This window comes from Homo sapiens, chromosome 8 (genome assembly GCF_000001405.40).
Source record: "Homo sapiens chromosome 8, GRCh38.p14 Primary Assembly".
NCBI classification, from domain to species: domain Eukaryota; kingdom Metazoa; phylum Chordata; class Mammalia; order Primates; family Hominidae; genus Homo; species Homo sapiens.
Genome location: NC_000008.11, coordinates 72,536,447 through 72,550,526, shown reverse-complemented (window position 1 = coordinate 72,550,526; position 14,080 = coordinate 72,536,447). Strand labels below are relative to the sequence as shown.

General features: G+C 40.8%; 1 protein-coding gene across 1 annotated transcript in view, besides 4 other annotated features; it reads right to left on the bottom strand.

Annotated features, from left to right (window-relative positions):
• Window positions 1-13,302, bottom strand: part of KCNB2 (potassium voltage-gated channel subfamily B member 2) — a 401,125-nt gene extending 387,823 nt beyond the window's left edge. The window contains exon 1 of the mRNA NM_004770.3: window positions 12,642-13,302. The gene's annotated coding sequence lies outside the window, so the exon portion shown is untranslated. The remainder of the gene's footprint in view (window positions 1-12,641) is intronic.
• Window positions 13,243-13,292: a silencer, noted in NCBI's record as "silent region_19284". NCBI's record gives its function as "represses an Ori minimal core promoter by ATAC-STARR-seq in GM12878 lymphoblastoid cells {active_cell/tissue: GM12878}" and the evidence as "EXISTENCE:reporter gene assay evidence [ECO:0000049][PMID:35858748]".
• Window positions 13,453-13,512: a silencer, noted in NCBI's record as "silent region_19283". NCBI's record gives its function as "represses an Ori minimal core promoter by ATAC-STARR-seq in GM12878 lymphoblastoid cells {active_cell/tissue: GM12878}" and the evidence as "EXISTENCE:reporter gene assay evidence [ECO:0000049][PMID:35858748]".
• Window positions 13,523-13,572: a silencer, noted in NCBI's record as "silent region_19282". NCBI's record gives its function as "represses an Ori minimal core promoter by ATAC-STARR-seq in GM12878 lymphoblastoid cells {active_cell/tissue: GM12878}" and the evidence as "EXISTENCE:reporter gene assay evidence [ECO:0000049][PMID:35858748]".
• Window positions 13,583-13,712: a silencer, noted in NCBI's record as "silent region_19281". NCBI's record gives its function as "represses an Ori minimal core promoter by ATAC-STARR-seq in GM12878 lymphoblastoid cells {active_cell/tissue: GM12878}" and the evidence as "EXISTENCE:reporter gene assay evidence [ECO:0000049][PMID:35858748]".

Here is a 14,080-nt window from a genome sequence, read left to right as displayed (position 1 = left end):
AAATACTCCACAACCCAAAGAATTATCAATTGTTTGGACCTGGGGCAAACTCACTGCAATTAGCACTGCAAGGGATCTAGGGGTTCTATGTTTGTTTTCAGGCAGACCATAAGCCTCGAAAGGGTAAGGACTAAGTTTGCATAACCTCATGACCTAGCAGAGTACTTTACACCTGAAAAGTGTTTAATAAATATTAGCTGAATGTGCACCTGTAAAAAGCTGGCTACAATTTCCAGCCAGTTAGAGTATAAGAAGCAGTAAGTCCTCCTGGGGAAAGAATTGCTTTCTCATTTCAGAAAAAAACATAATGGGCTATTTGGCTATTACTGGCAAGTGCCCTTGGGCAAGTCAGAGGCAAACAAGAGTTAAATAGTTCAGCATAATGAACTACCTCTGTCTTTTGGAATCATCCATTGTCATCTTGAGAAAGGATAGTGGGAAAATTCTGGATGAAGAGATGGGAGGAAGTGTCCAGAGGAAGAGAGAGACCTAGCAAATGGCTGGTGAGGTGTCCAGAAAATGGCTGGTACCTGGGCCCCAGTGAGACATGGACCAATGAGAAAACTCCTGTGATGAGGAATGGTAAATGCATTTTTAGGAGCAGTGACATCTAACATTTAATTAGAATTAGTTTCTTGTCTATGCTATAATTACCATCCTTTATCCCAATGCACTCAGCCAGAGTCTTTTATATATGAGGGCACTATAATACTGATTGATTAGAGAAGGAAGGGAGATGTGTCCCAGAGGAAGACATCCCAGAGGTCTGAGAGGAGCCAAAGAGAACACAGGCGTGTGGTGAAGGATGTGGCACAGCATGGATTAACCAGTGAGTGGATGCAATTCAAACACTTTTCTCCCCTAATTTATTTTGAAGAAATATGACGACAGCAGGGATGGCTAGTTGTTTATTTAAATTTATAGTTCACCTTATATAATTGCCACTGAGAAGTTCCTGTTGAGCCAAATATTACATTTCACAGCCCCTACTCCCAGCCCCCTCATCTAGGCATCTAGATAGAGTGGTATCTGACTAGTTTTCATCAGTGGAATATAAGCAGAAGTGTTGTTGTCACACCTGAGTCAAGATGTTTAAGAACTGGTCGTGCCTTTTCTGTGCTCTCGCACTCTTCATTTGATTGTTATGTGAATGAGAAATATACTTTTGTTATGCCAAATCGCTAACATTCTGGTGTTTGTTACAGGATGAGCTAGCATTATCCTAACATTGACACCTTGATGTTAGGGGGCGTGGGAGTGCTGCCTTTACAAAAATCTAATTATGTGGCATTGCCCCAAGCAAGGAAAGGGATATAGAAGACGAAATGCCTGGACCCTGCCATGCCCTGGCACAACTGTGCTAACTTAGAAGGCAGGTCTATAACTTCAGAAAAAAAGATTGCAAAGAGCCAGAATGTTATTGTGTGGTGGTTGCTCCTCACTGCCTGTAGCAAAGTATTAAAAAACGATTGAAACAGAAGACCTCAGGAAGCTGCAACAGCCCACTCTTCAGGGAGGATAAGGGTGAGAAATAACAATGAAAAAGGCTTTGAGTAACACAAGTCCCTTATAACCTCCCAGTTCGACAAAGTGACTCAGCCTTGCAGTAAATATCTCATTAATGAAGTGACCTAACCACCCAAGCCTATTTTTGAGATGAACCCAACATAACCACTTAAGACATGGGTGTATAAGACATGAACAAAGGAATGAAACAGCTTCAAAAATTACGAATAGGAAAGAACTTTCACTGTAGCTAGTAGTGTAACTGACAGAAAGCAAATACGTAAGTAACTTATGAAAATTTTGAGGAAATTGTATTGTCAAAGAAATTAAGAGCCAGGCCTAACAAAAAAGAAAAAAGAAAAAAAAACCCAATGACTTTAAAACCACCTCTAGGTATCTAGGCTTGGATTGGGAAGAAGCAGGCCTATAAGGCCCTATAAGTTCCAGGAAGGGTATACTTCCCAACACCCATTTTGCATGTGGTCATGGAGAGTAATGGACAATGAAGAACCTCCCAGAAGGTGGCCTGGACTACACAGAACAAAGAACAAAGAATTTCTTCCAAGATAGCAAACCAGGGTCCAAAGAAGGAATGTGCCCTATTGCCAGGACAGGGGGCCTTTAACAATATCCAACAGGACTTCTTCCATGTTATGCGTCAATGACTGGTTTATGTCTCCCATTGTTCATTTTTCCAAATGGAAATTTTAAAGGCAATCATTCCAAACTTCATCCATCATTATACAAGCATACCTCAGAGATATTACAGGTTTAGTTCCAGACCACGGCAAAAAAGCAAATACCTCAATAAGGCAAGTTACAGAAATATTTGGTTTCCCAGTGCATGTAAAGGTAATGTTTATAAAATACTGTAGTATTTTATATTATTTCGATTAAAAATGTTCATACCTTAATTAAAATGCTCTATTGGGGAAAAAAGCTAACAATCCTCAGAGCCTTCAGGGAATTGTAATCTATTTGCTAATGGATGGTCTTGCCTTGATGTTTATGGCTGCTGACTGATCTCAGTGGTAGCTGCTGACGATTTGGGTGGCTGTGGCAATTTCTTAAAATGAGACAACAATGAAGTTTGCACAGTTGTGTCTTCCTTTCACAAAAGATTTCTCAGTAGCATGCAATGCTATTTGATAGCATTTTACCCACACTAGCACTTTGTTCAAATTCGAGTCAATCATCTCAAATCTTGTTTCTGTTTTATCAACTAAGTTGGTGTAATATTCCAAATCCTTTGTTGTGATTTCAACAATGTTCACAGTGTCTTCAATCAAGAGTAAATTTCATCTGAAGAAATCACTTTCTTTGCTCGTTCATAAGAAGCAACTCCTTCTCTGCTCAAGTTTGATTATGAGGTCACAGCAATTCATGTATATCTTCTGACTCCACTTCTAATTCTCCTTCTCTCCACCATATGTGCAGTTATTTTCTTCAATGAAGTTTTAAATCCCTCAAAGTCATCCATGGAGGTTAGAATCAACTTCTGCCAAATTCCTGTTAATGTTGATATTTTGACTTCCTCCCATCAATCACAAACGTTCTTAATGGCATCTAGAATGGTGAATCCTTTCCAGAAGGTTTTTAATTAACTTTGTCCAGATCTATCAGAGGAATCACTATATATGGCAGGTATAGCCTTATAAAAGGTATTTATGAAATAATAGGCTTGAAAGTCAAAATTATTCCTTGATCCATGAGCTGCAGAGTGGATACTGTGTTAGCAGGCATGAAAACATTAATCTCCATGTACATCTCCCTCAGAGCTCTTGGGTGATGGGAAACATTGTCAAAAAGCAGTAATATTTTGAAAAGAATTTTTTCATAAGCAGTAGGTTCTAATGGTGGGCTTAAAATATCAGTAAACCATGCTGTAAACAAATGCATTGTTCATTCAGGCTTCATTGTTCCATTTCTAAAGCATAGGCAGAGTAAATTTAGCATCATTCTTAAGGACCCTAGGATTCTCAGAATAGAAAGTAAGCAATGAATTCAACTTAAGGTCACCAGCTAGATTAGCCCCTACCAAGAGAGTAAGCCTGTCCTTTGAAGCTTTGAAGCCAGGCATTGACTTCTTCTCTCTAGCTATGGAAAGGCCTAAATGGCGTCACCTTTCAACAGAAGCCTGTTTAATCTCCATTAAAAATCTGTTGTGGGTAACACAGTGAGACCATGTCTTTTTTTAATTAAAGAAATTTTCAATAAAAAAATTATCCAGGTGTTGTGGTGCATGCCTGTAGTCCCAAGTACTTGGAAGGCTGAAGGGGGAGGATCCCATGAGCCCAGGAGTTCAAGGCTGCAGTGAGCTGTGATCATGCCACTACACTCTAGACTGGGTGACAGAGTGAGACCCTGTCTCTAAAGAAATTTTAAAAATCTATTGTTAATTGTAGCCACCTTCATCAATGATCTTAGCTAAATATTGTGGGTAACTTGCTGCAGCTTCCATATTTAACACTTGTTTCTTCACCTTGCACTTTTTTTTTTTTTTTGACACAGAGTCTTGCTCTGCCACCCAGGCTGGAGTGCAGTGGTGCAATCTCGGCTCACTGCAACCTCCACCTCTCAGGTTCAAGCAATTCTCTGCCTCAGCCTCCCAAGTAGCTGGGATTACAGGCACCTGCCACCATGCCTGGCTAATTTTTTTGTATTTTTTTAGTAGACACGGGGTTTCATCAAGTTGGCCGGGCTGGTCTTGAACTCCTGACCTTGTGATCCACCTGCCTCGGCCTCCCAAAGTGTTGGGATTACAGGCGTGAGCCACTGCGCCCGGCCCACCTTGCACTTTTGTATCACGGAGATGGCTTATTTTTTTTTAAACCTGTGAACCAACCTCTGCTAGCTTTGAACTTTTCTTCTGTTTGAAGAAACAGAAGAACAGAGAACAAAGAACAAAGAATTTCTTCTAAGATAGCAAACCAGGGTCTAAAGAAGGAATGTGCCCTATTGCCAGAACAGGGGGCCTTTACCAATATCCAAGAACTCACAGAAAAACTCACTTCTCTCAGCCTTCATGGAATTGAAGAGAGTTAAGGTCTTGTTCTGGATTAGGCTTTGGTTGAAGGGAATGTTGTGACTAATTTGATCTATCCAGACCACTAAAACTTTCTCCATATCAGCAATCAGACTCTTTTTCCTTTATTATCATTCATGTATTCATTGGAGTAACATTTTTAATTTCCTTCAATAACTTTTCCTTTGCATTCACAACTTGGCTAACTGGAACAAGAGGACTAACTCTCAGCCTATCTTGGCTTTCAATATACCTTCCTCACTAAGCTTAATCCTTTCTAGCTTTTGATTTAAAGTGACAGACATGTGATTCTTCCTTTCACTTGGATACTTAAAGGTCATTGTAGGGTTATTAATTGGCCTATTTTCAATATTGTTGTGTCTCAGGGAACAGGGAGGCCCAAGCAGAGGGAGAGAGATGTGGGAATAGCCAGTCAGTGGAGAAGTTGGGACCCACACAACATTCATCCATTAAGTTTACCATCTTATATGGGCACAACTCGTGGTGCCCCAAATATCACTGATCATGGATCAGCATAACCTATATAACAATAACATTTGAAATATTGGGAGAATTACCAAAATGTGACACAGAGACAAGAAGTGAGCACACTGTTGGAAAAACGGCACTGACAGACTTGCGTGATGCAGGGTTGCCACAAACCTTCAATTTGTGAAAATCGCAGCATCTGTTAAGCACAATAAAACAAAGCACCATAAAAATGAGGTATGCCTGTATATTGGAGGCTGATAACTTGCCTTTTAGTACAAAAGTTTCTAGACAATGAGGGGCCATATCCAGACTAAATGGTGGCGGGCACTCAGCATCAGCCATAGAACCTGGACTTTGAGATGGATACAGTGACTAGGTGAGATTCAGGTTGTTTTCTGGAGTTGAGGTTTTCCTATCTGTAGCCAGAGAGCAGAATATAGTAGAATTTTTGTTTAGCAAAATCTATGCTTCCCTTTCCATGATACAGAAATATGACTGGAAAGTAGCCTCCCACCCAGAGGTTGCATACTCCAGCCCTCTTTGCATACTGACAGAGCAATGTGACTATCTCATCAACAGAATGTGAATGGAAGCCAGGTGTGTCACTACTTGGGTGTGCCTTCTCTATGTTCATTCTCTTCCACAATGTCAGCTGGATGCAGAGAGCTTCATGTTTCTAGTATCAAGAGCAAGATTTGGGTCCCCAAATCACTGCACTGAATGCATACATTGGACTCTCATATAAGCAAAAATTAAATGTCCACTCTATTAACCACTGAAATATGGAAGTTTAGAAGTTAAAGTTACCTCAACTAATACAATCACCATTGAAAAGCAAAAAAGGAGGGTAATACCTACTATTATGACCTGTATTGGGAGGTGGAAGACTTGGAGACCCTTAGATTGCAAGTGTTTGCCGTCAGGAATTCAAATCCTCCTCCCCTTCTTCGCCATTCCTGTTTAAAGCAAGTCTTAGACATTATCTTAGTTGTATTCCTTGAAAGACTCCTAACTAGTCTCCAAAGTATCAATCTTTTCTCCTGTTAAAGTTGATCCTATTCACATTAGCTCAGAGATTGTTGCCAAAAATAAAGTGGATTACACCACTTTTTAAAAATTTTCCATTGACCCTCTCTCCCCCAACAACCTGCCTTTCAGGATAAAATCCAAATGATGTAGGATGGCATAAACACCTTTCACATCTAATCCTCAACCTTCTTCAGCCTCGTCTCCCATCACTTCCCCACAACTGCCAATGCTGACCTTCAGTCACCAGCCAAGCCCTTTTTTATGACATTGCTTTGCAAATGCTGTTCCTTCTGCCTAGAATGCTCTCCATCTACCTCCTTTTCCACTTGGGGAATGCTTACTCATCTTTTAAAAATGAACTTAGATGTCACTTCATCTGTGAAGTCCTGTCTGACTATCCCACGTAGAAAATGATACTCTTCACAGTGATAATTAAATCATCAAATTGTGCCCACTAATAGGATGTCCCTAATGTTTAGCAAACTACATAGTTTGATTTTGTTGCTATTTATTTGTATTTAGTCAGCCGCTAAACTTACCTTCATACTAAAAACATAGAGTGCTCAGCTTTTTCAAAATAGCCACCCACACAGTAGAATTGGATTGGCTTTCTTCAATGGGAGAATATAGCCATAATCAGTGCTCCTGAATGAGAGGAATATGATCCTTTTGAGTGAGTTTCCTAAAGTTGTCAAGTGTTTGAAGGGCAAGGCCCAAGAATGCAGGAAATCCTGCTTCCTCCATAACTTTTACACATCTCACCAGACATATATGTAAATAAAAAACTTGCTTACTGTTATCTGTGACTAGACCCTAGTCCTATTGTTCATAGCATGTTTTTACACAGGAATTTTCTAGGAATGATAGAAGGTGCTATCACCAAGATTTGCTCACGATTTTGGGAAGTTATGTCACCAGCTATCATGCTGCTCCTGTTAATTGATTCATTAATCCAGTACACCCACATCTGTTTGCAATTGCTGCTGTCACACTCAATGAATATATTTATTTTGCTCTTATTTCAAAGTGCCAAATATATAAAAGTGTTACCAATATTCAATTGAATATTATCATCTTATCCAAGTTTATCTTCTAATCTTATCTGAACTTATCTTCTTATCCAAACTTATGCATTTTAAGTAGCAAGCATCTATTTTAGTACATCTTTTAGTGTAGTTATATCTGAGCATGCACATATTGATAAGCCTACTATTTTATCTTAAGTTGCTTTCTTCTTATTTACTCTTTCTATTACAGATAGGGAATTTATATTGCTTTTTAAAATGTTATATGTGTAGATATGATTTATTATCTATACATATTATTTCAGGAAAGTAAAGGGGACATTACAAAGTACTGCTTATAAAAAGGGGGTATTGGATCCGACTGAGTAGAGTGTTGTGGCTCTAAATATATTTAGAAATTCAAAGCAACTGTATTTTCTTACTGTTGGGATGCTTCTGTCATACAACTACTCCGTTGAATTGCCATCCCACTCTATCAATAGCATTTATAATATTTGGTTGTGATTTATTTCTCTACAAATGTAGGCTGTGAGTGCATAGTGTCTTATGCATATTTATGTCTCTAATAACTGGCTTAGGACTTGGCACACAGAAGCTGAGTAGATACCTTTAGGATGAACTACCAAATGAGAACCCTGAAGGGATTGCAGTCCCTGGATTTCATGGTAGAACTCTGAATCAATTATCCAGTGCTTTGCCTCTATCACTCTTATATCGCTTCCTTCATTCTGCCAGATGTCAGTTACTTGTGTACAAATACCCTCTCCATTTTCTCTCCTCCTTGTGGGCCTAGGCAGTACTGCATTCACCTCTGTATCTCAAGTGAGTCTCACACAAAGGAAGCCAATAAACATTATGTAAATCAAATGATTCCCCAGGAGTATTGCCATACATAATTTTTAATTTTTAATTTTTAAGTTGGCTGTGGGTTTTTTTAATACTAACAGTACTGTACTTCAGGTATATTAGTTATTAAAAGGGCTTTGGTGGATTGGTCTGAGGACCTAAACATCATTTAAAGTACTATTTTTATAAGGAAATGTTTACAAGTTCTAAAATACCCAAATTTTTAAAATGAAATTTTATCTAATAAGCCAATTGTAGGTTCAAGGTTGGCTATACAATGTGATTGAACCTGTAAGACCTAATAATTGTGTGAAAAATTAAAATGTCAATCATGAGGATATGTCTAAATATTTGATTCTATGGCTTCCTGCAGGCAATATTTAATCATTTTAGCTTTCAAATTTAATCTGGATGACATTGTTCACATAAACAGAAGTTGTAGCTATTTAGAAAAAACTTTTCTTCAAATATATAAACTTTTCTTGATGAAAATCTCAATTTATGTTTTCATAATGTTATCATAGTAACTCTGCACTTAATAAAATAAATGCATTCTAGAGACTATACTAGTATGTAAATCTGTTAAGTAACCATATTTTAATTTCTATTGAAATATTCATGTTATGTTTCACAGGGAAAAAAATGGGGACATGCATAAAAAATTATATTTCAGAACTAATAATTTTTAAAAAACAAATAATTCTAAAAGTAGCTAAATTAAACAAATTTGTAATACTATGTTCAAAATAATTCACAAACTTGTTTTTAAAGAACCTGAAAATGAAAATAAACTGACCAATGAGATCATCTGCATCAGCCAGCCTCATTTTCTGTGGTCGATGTAAAGCTAGTAGTTTCTAATGTGTTAGCATTCTGATAAAATCCCACCTACCTTATAAAAATCTAAACTACCTTCTTATTTCAAATTCATGTTGAAAATATGGGGGTTTTCTCTTACTTTTGGCCTTTTTCAAGCATCCTCCTGTACTAATAAGCAGGGCATCCTTTGGTGAGTGAGAAGATACAGTTCCAAATAAATCTAGGAACTGCAAGCATTTTTTCTTGTTCTGCCTGGGCTCGTTTTTAACACTTCTGAATATCATAGTGGTTAAGTGAAGCCAGAGCACCTAGGTTCAAGCTTGACTTTACCATTTATTTCCTATATGACTTTAGACAAGTTAAGAAAAGTCTCTGAACATTAGTTTTCATATCTATATAATAAAGGGCATTTCTGACAGCTACACCATAGGGTGGTTGTAAGAATGAAAATAATATTTGTAAAATGCTTAAAACAGTATGTGCCTCAAGTAAGTGCTATAATAATAACTTTATTTTATATACGTCAATAAAATAAATAGTATTACTTATAATCATAATACTCTACATTTAAAATTAAATATTTTAATGAAATTATTATTACTATTATTTTTATTGTTTTATAACAACTGCCAAATGCATAGTTTGTGAAAATTTTCATGATCCTCTTCATGGATGTGTCTTAATTAATTTGCTAAGTATAAAATTATTAAGTGCATTTCTGTATAAAAGAGATCTTTCATTTTGAACTATAACTGATTTTTCAATTAGTTTTTCAAGTTTTTTTCCCCCTAAAATATTCTTGGGAGCAGGGCCTAGCTTCTATATTTTTTACATTTGTTATATTCTATTCAAGCACTCTTCTCCTTATATATATATATTTAGTAAGTAATAAATGAATTAATGAATGAGTCAATGAGTGGCTATGGGACATCAAATCAGATAGCAAAGATAGTTAAAATTCAACCTATAGGAATACGCACTTTTTAAGATAATATAAGAGGGTTTGGCTTACACAAGTCAAGGGATTACTTGTCTCACACACATGGCTTTCTGCCTCACAACCCGTACTTGCAGTAAAGAGTTGGTGGGAATACATATTTAAGAAGCACAAGGAGGAAATAAGCAATGAAACAGAATGGCCCACAGATCTAGGCTATAAAGATACTTGTAGAATGTGACTAAAAAATCTAATGCTGCTCTGCTCTATAAAGTTTATTCTATCACTTGGGGAGTAACAAGGCCATAATCTCTAGCCTTAAAAAAAACAAACAACAACAACAACAATAACAAAACTCTGGGCTAAAAAAGAAATCACACATAATGCCTTTGTATTGTCCATCTGTCTGAAGCTTCTGTGAAAATAATAGAAATCTCGATTTTATGCAAAATCAATCTGAAGAATATAAACAAATCTTAAACAATTACATTTTGAAATAAGCAGAATATCTTACCTTTATATATTTTCCTTAAAATATGCATGAGATTTCCTATCAACGTTAAGAATCTTCCTTTGGAATTAGTCTTTAAGAGATAGCAAGTTTTAAAGGAACTAATTAGTTCTTTATGAAGAAAAAAATGCATTAGGGCAGAATGAAATATATCTTATAGGTTTCCTAGATTTGGGTCTACTTTCACAATATGTTATACACATATACTGATCTCTCTACCATATAAGAATGCCAGATACGCATTCAAGAAAAAATATTTTTCAACGTTTAACGAAGATGCTCTGCAGACTTGCACATTTGTAGACATGCAGGCAGGTATATAAAACACGTGGACAGACACACTCTTAAGTTGAGAAACGTGACCGAAACCATATCCTGCCATTTCGTTATTCTAGCAATCTCACTTTTATTATCATAGTGAGTGTTAAAAAGGCAGGAAGTTGCCCTATTGCCTAAACTATGAAGTTTTAAAAGCCAAACAGAAGGGAATGGATAAAGTAATAATTTCTACTAACTCCTCTGAATATTCAGTAAATATGTATGCTTGGAAAGTTGAATTGTTGGACTTGGAGAACAGTGAAATGCAAAATAGTTTCAACGGATGCATGGATTGATTCTATTTGGAAAAACAGAAGAAAAGAAAAGAGAGGCAATAGAAAAGATGTGAGATGAGAACTCTCAAAGTGGCAGGCAGGAGAGTGATTTTTCTGGAGTCGATACGTGTGGGTTTGTGTATGAGGGAGATTTGAGAACACTAACATGGAGAGGGAAAGGTGAAGGTTAAAGGAGCAAGAAAACAAACAGAACTGCCAAGTTCTTTCTCCAAAAGTCTGAGTAGTGCCAGAAAAGGAAGAAGGGTACATTATACAGAATTCTATTTGTGATAAACAATTGTTCTAAACCTTAAGGCAAGAGGGAGGGGATTATGGTATTTACTTTGTGGAAGCATATTAACTCTTCTAGGTGATAAGGATACTTTTCCTTCAGTGGGGAAGAAAGTTATTTCTACGTTGGACCTTCAGTATTTTCAGAGTCCATGCAATCACACAAGTAAGCACTTTATCCATGCCCTTAAATTAAAAACACCACCTCAAACGGCAATTAAATGCGCATACACATGTGTAATGTGCCAAATTACTAAACTGTTTGAGTTAATTTAAGAACAAAGAACTCTCTAGCCTAGATGTCTAGTCTAGATGGGTTTTATTCATGTATTACGTTAAGCTTTGGACAACTTTATATTTATTGACACACACACACACATGCCCCTAAAGAGTGAAATAGATAAAACAAAACTTTATTTTCTTGATATGTAACTTTAGAATGTTACCCTCTTTTACAAAATCTTTCCTGTAAGTTATTCAGCACTGACAGGTAAGACAAGATTTTTGACCGAAATCTATCTCTCGCTTGTCCTATGAAATGTAATATATTGATTGCTGTTTATTGGTAAATAAACCAAGAGACTTCCGACCCACACTATACTACACATTTAACAATAACAATAAAATGCTTACTCTTCCTTTCCCTCAGTTTCAAAAAATCAGATTCCCAACAAAATAAAAAAATTAATCAATGCAAAAATGAAAATGTGATACGATACTTAAAATCTTGACATTACTACACAACTTGATTAGAAGGAATGTTGAACCTGCGCGGAATTAACCCAGTGTATGTGCATACTAAATTTTTTTCAATGTAATCTTGTATGCATTATTACTTATTGTTGAAACACATGTGCAGTCATAAATGTTGCATAAATGGCATGTTTGTGCATATTGCACACTGACAGTTTTTATGAATGAATACGCATAAATGCTCACAACTCGAGAAAATGGATGGCGGCATACTATTTTGAAGAGGATCATTAAGCATCGGGAGCAAATGATGAGGCAAATGGTCGATGTCTTTTGGTGCTATTCAGGGCAAACGTATTCCCAAGTCCCCTAGCAGAGTGTGTTGGAAACAGCCATGAAGCTCTTTCCTTAGAGACCCGTTCTCCCTCTCAGGAATCGTGCTACAGAACGGAGACCGCGCACCGCTTGAAGAATAAAATGCACGCATGTCTCTGTGTTCTGAGGATCGTTCATACATCAGAGACATCACACTCCCTAAATCCAGTCCCACAAGTGTGTGCATGTGAGTGTGGCATTTACCAACAAATGGACGGAAGGCAACAAGAGCTCGGCTCCTAGAAATAACATCCCCATCCCTTCCCAGTCAGGCTGCTGGGAAGCTTTTCAGGGGCTAATACTTGAGCGCCTTCCCCACCGGGAAGGAGCCTGACATTAAAAACCCTCTCAGGGCTAAGTCAGCTTTGTGTGTAAGTCCACTGGGCGCCATATGGCAGTTTCCAATTCCTTTAGCAACTCAAGTCTGGCTAGGCTGCCGCGATGATTCATTCTTAAAGGAAGACCCCCTTCGGGGAGCAGCAATGCCCCCGCCACTTACCTAGCTCCCACAGACCCCGCTCAGCAGGCGGCACGGGCTCGGGCACCACAAAGGGCTGTGGGATTCCCCGCTCCCTCCGGGGAGCCTCTCCCCGCGACGATCCCCTTCGCCAATGACCTGTCGCTGGAAATCCCCCTCCCCTCCACAGAGAGGAGGGTCTCCCCGGCTGGCTGGAGCTCCCGGCGTGCTTTCCCCCTGTCTTTACATCCCTGACTCTGGTTCACGGTCTCTAGTAGGAAGGCTCAGAGGAAAGGCGGCGGGAGGAAGCTAAGGCATCCTTTAAAAGAACAATAATCTTCATCGATCTTCAACCCCTTCCCCACACGGGGTCCCCATCCCCCTGCCGCCGCCACAGCCACCCAGACAAGAGAGGGCTGGAACAGAAGAGGAAAAATCGAGCGGGGCTGAGCTCGCCGCGCGGAAGGAGCCAGAAAGCGAGCCGCGCCAGCCCGGGAGTTGCCGCTCGCTGGGGCTGCCCGAGGCGCAGCGGCGGCGGCGGCCGCGGGGGCGGAGGGCGGAGGGCGGAGGGCGGTGGGTGCTTGGTGGGTGTGTGTCTGTGGCGGAGCAGGGTAGAGGCTGCGCGCGGGAGGCTAGGCGGGGCGCTCTGGGGCGCCGCTCCCCCGCCCCGCAGCTAGCCGGCCCGGCGCGCACACAGGGCTGCGGCCACCCCAGCCTCCCGCTCCGCCTCCTCCCGCGCTCCGCGCACCCGCGGGCTGGAGCGGCCGCCGCCTTCTCTTCCTCCTCCCCCTCCCCCTCTTCCTCCTCAGCGCTCCCGGCTGTCAAGGTGGGCGGCGGGGCGGGATGGCTGGGCTGCGCGAGCCGGCAGCGCACCGCCGGGGACGCCGGGGCTCTGCCTCGCGGCGCCGGAGCTGTGCGCTCGGCCGGGGACAGCGCTCTGGTGCCCAGGGCGCGGCTGGGGCGCGGGCAGGCACCGCCCACACCTCGGCGGGGTGCCTCCCTCAGCTTCCGCGCGCCAGCCACTCCTGCTGCCCCGGGCCTGGCTCCACACCCACCTGCTTCGCTCTGCAGCTCCCACCCGGCTGCACTGGACTAGAGGGACGCAGCCCCCGCGGCTGCCGCGCACCCGGGGCCGGGAAAGCCCCGGGAGGCCCCGCCGCGACGCGCTCCGGCGGCTTCGCGGGATTCCCTCGGCCCTTCTGCTTCCAACTGCAGGGCTGTCCTCCCGCCCGCCCACAGCAGGACCCTGACCCTGGGCTGACTGCTCGACCCCGGGGAACTGGGGCGAAGACAGATGGCTCCTGAGTGGTGGTGCCAGGATTATTTTCCTGGAGAAAGAGCTGCGGAGATAACTAGGAGCGCAGATAAGATCTGACTTTCCTCGCGGCACCTGCAGCCCCGCTCGCTCGGGGGCCGTCCCTAGCCCCAAGTGACCCGGCTTTCCTGGGTTTGAGGGTAAAGCCGGGTCCGTGGCAACCTTA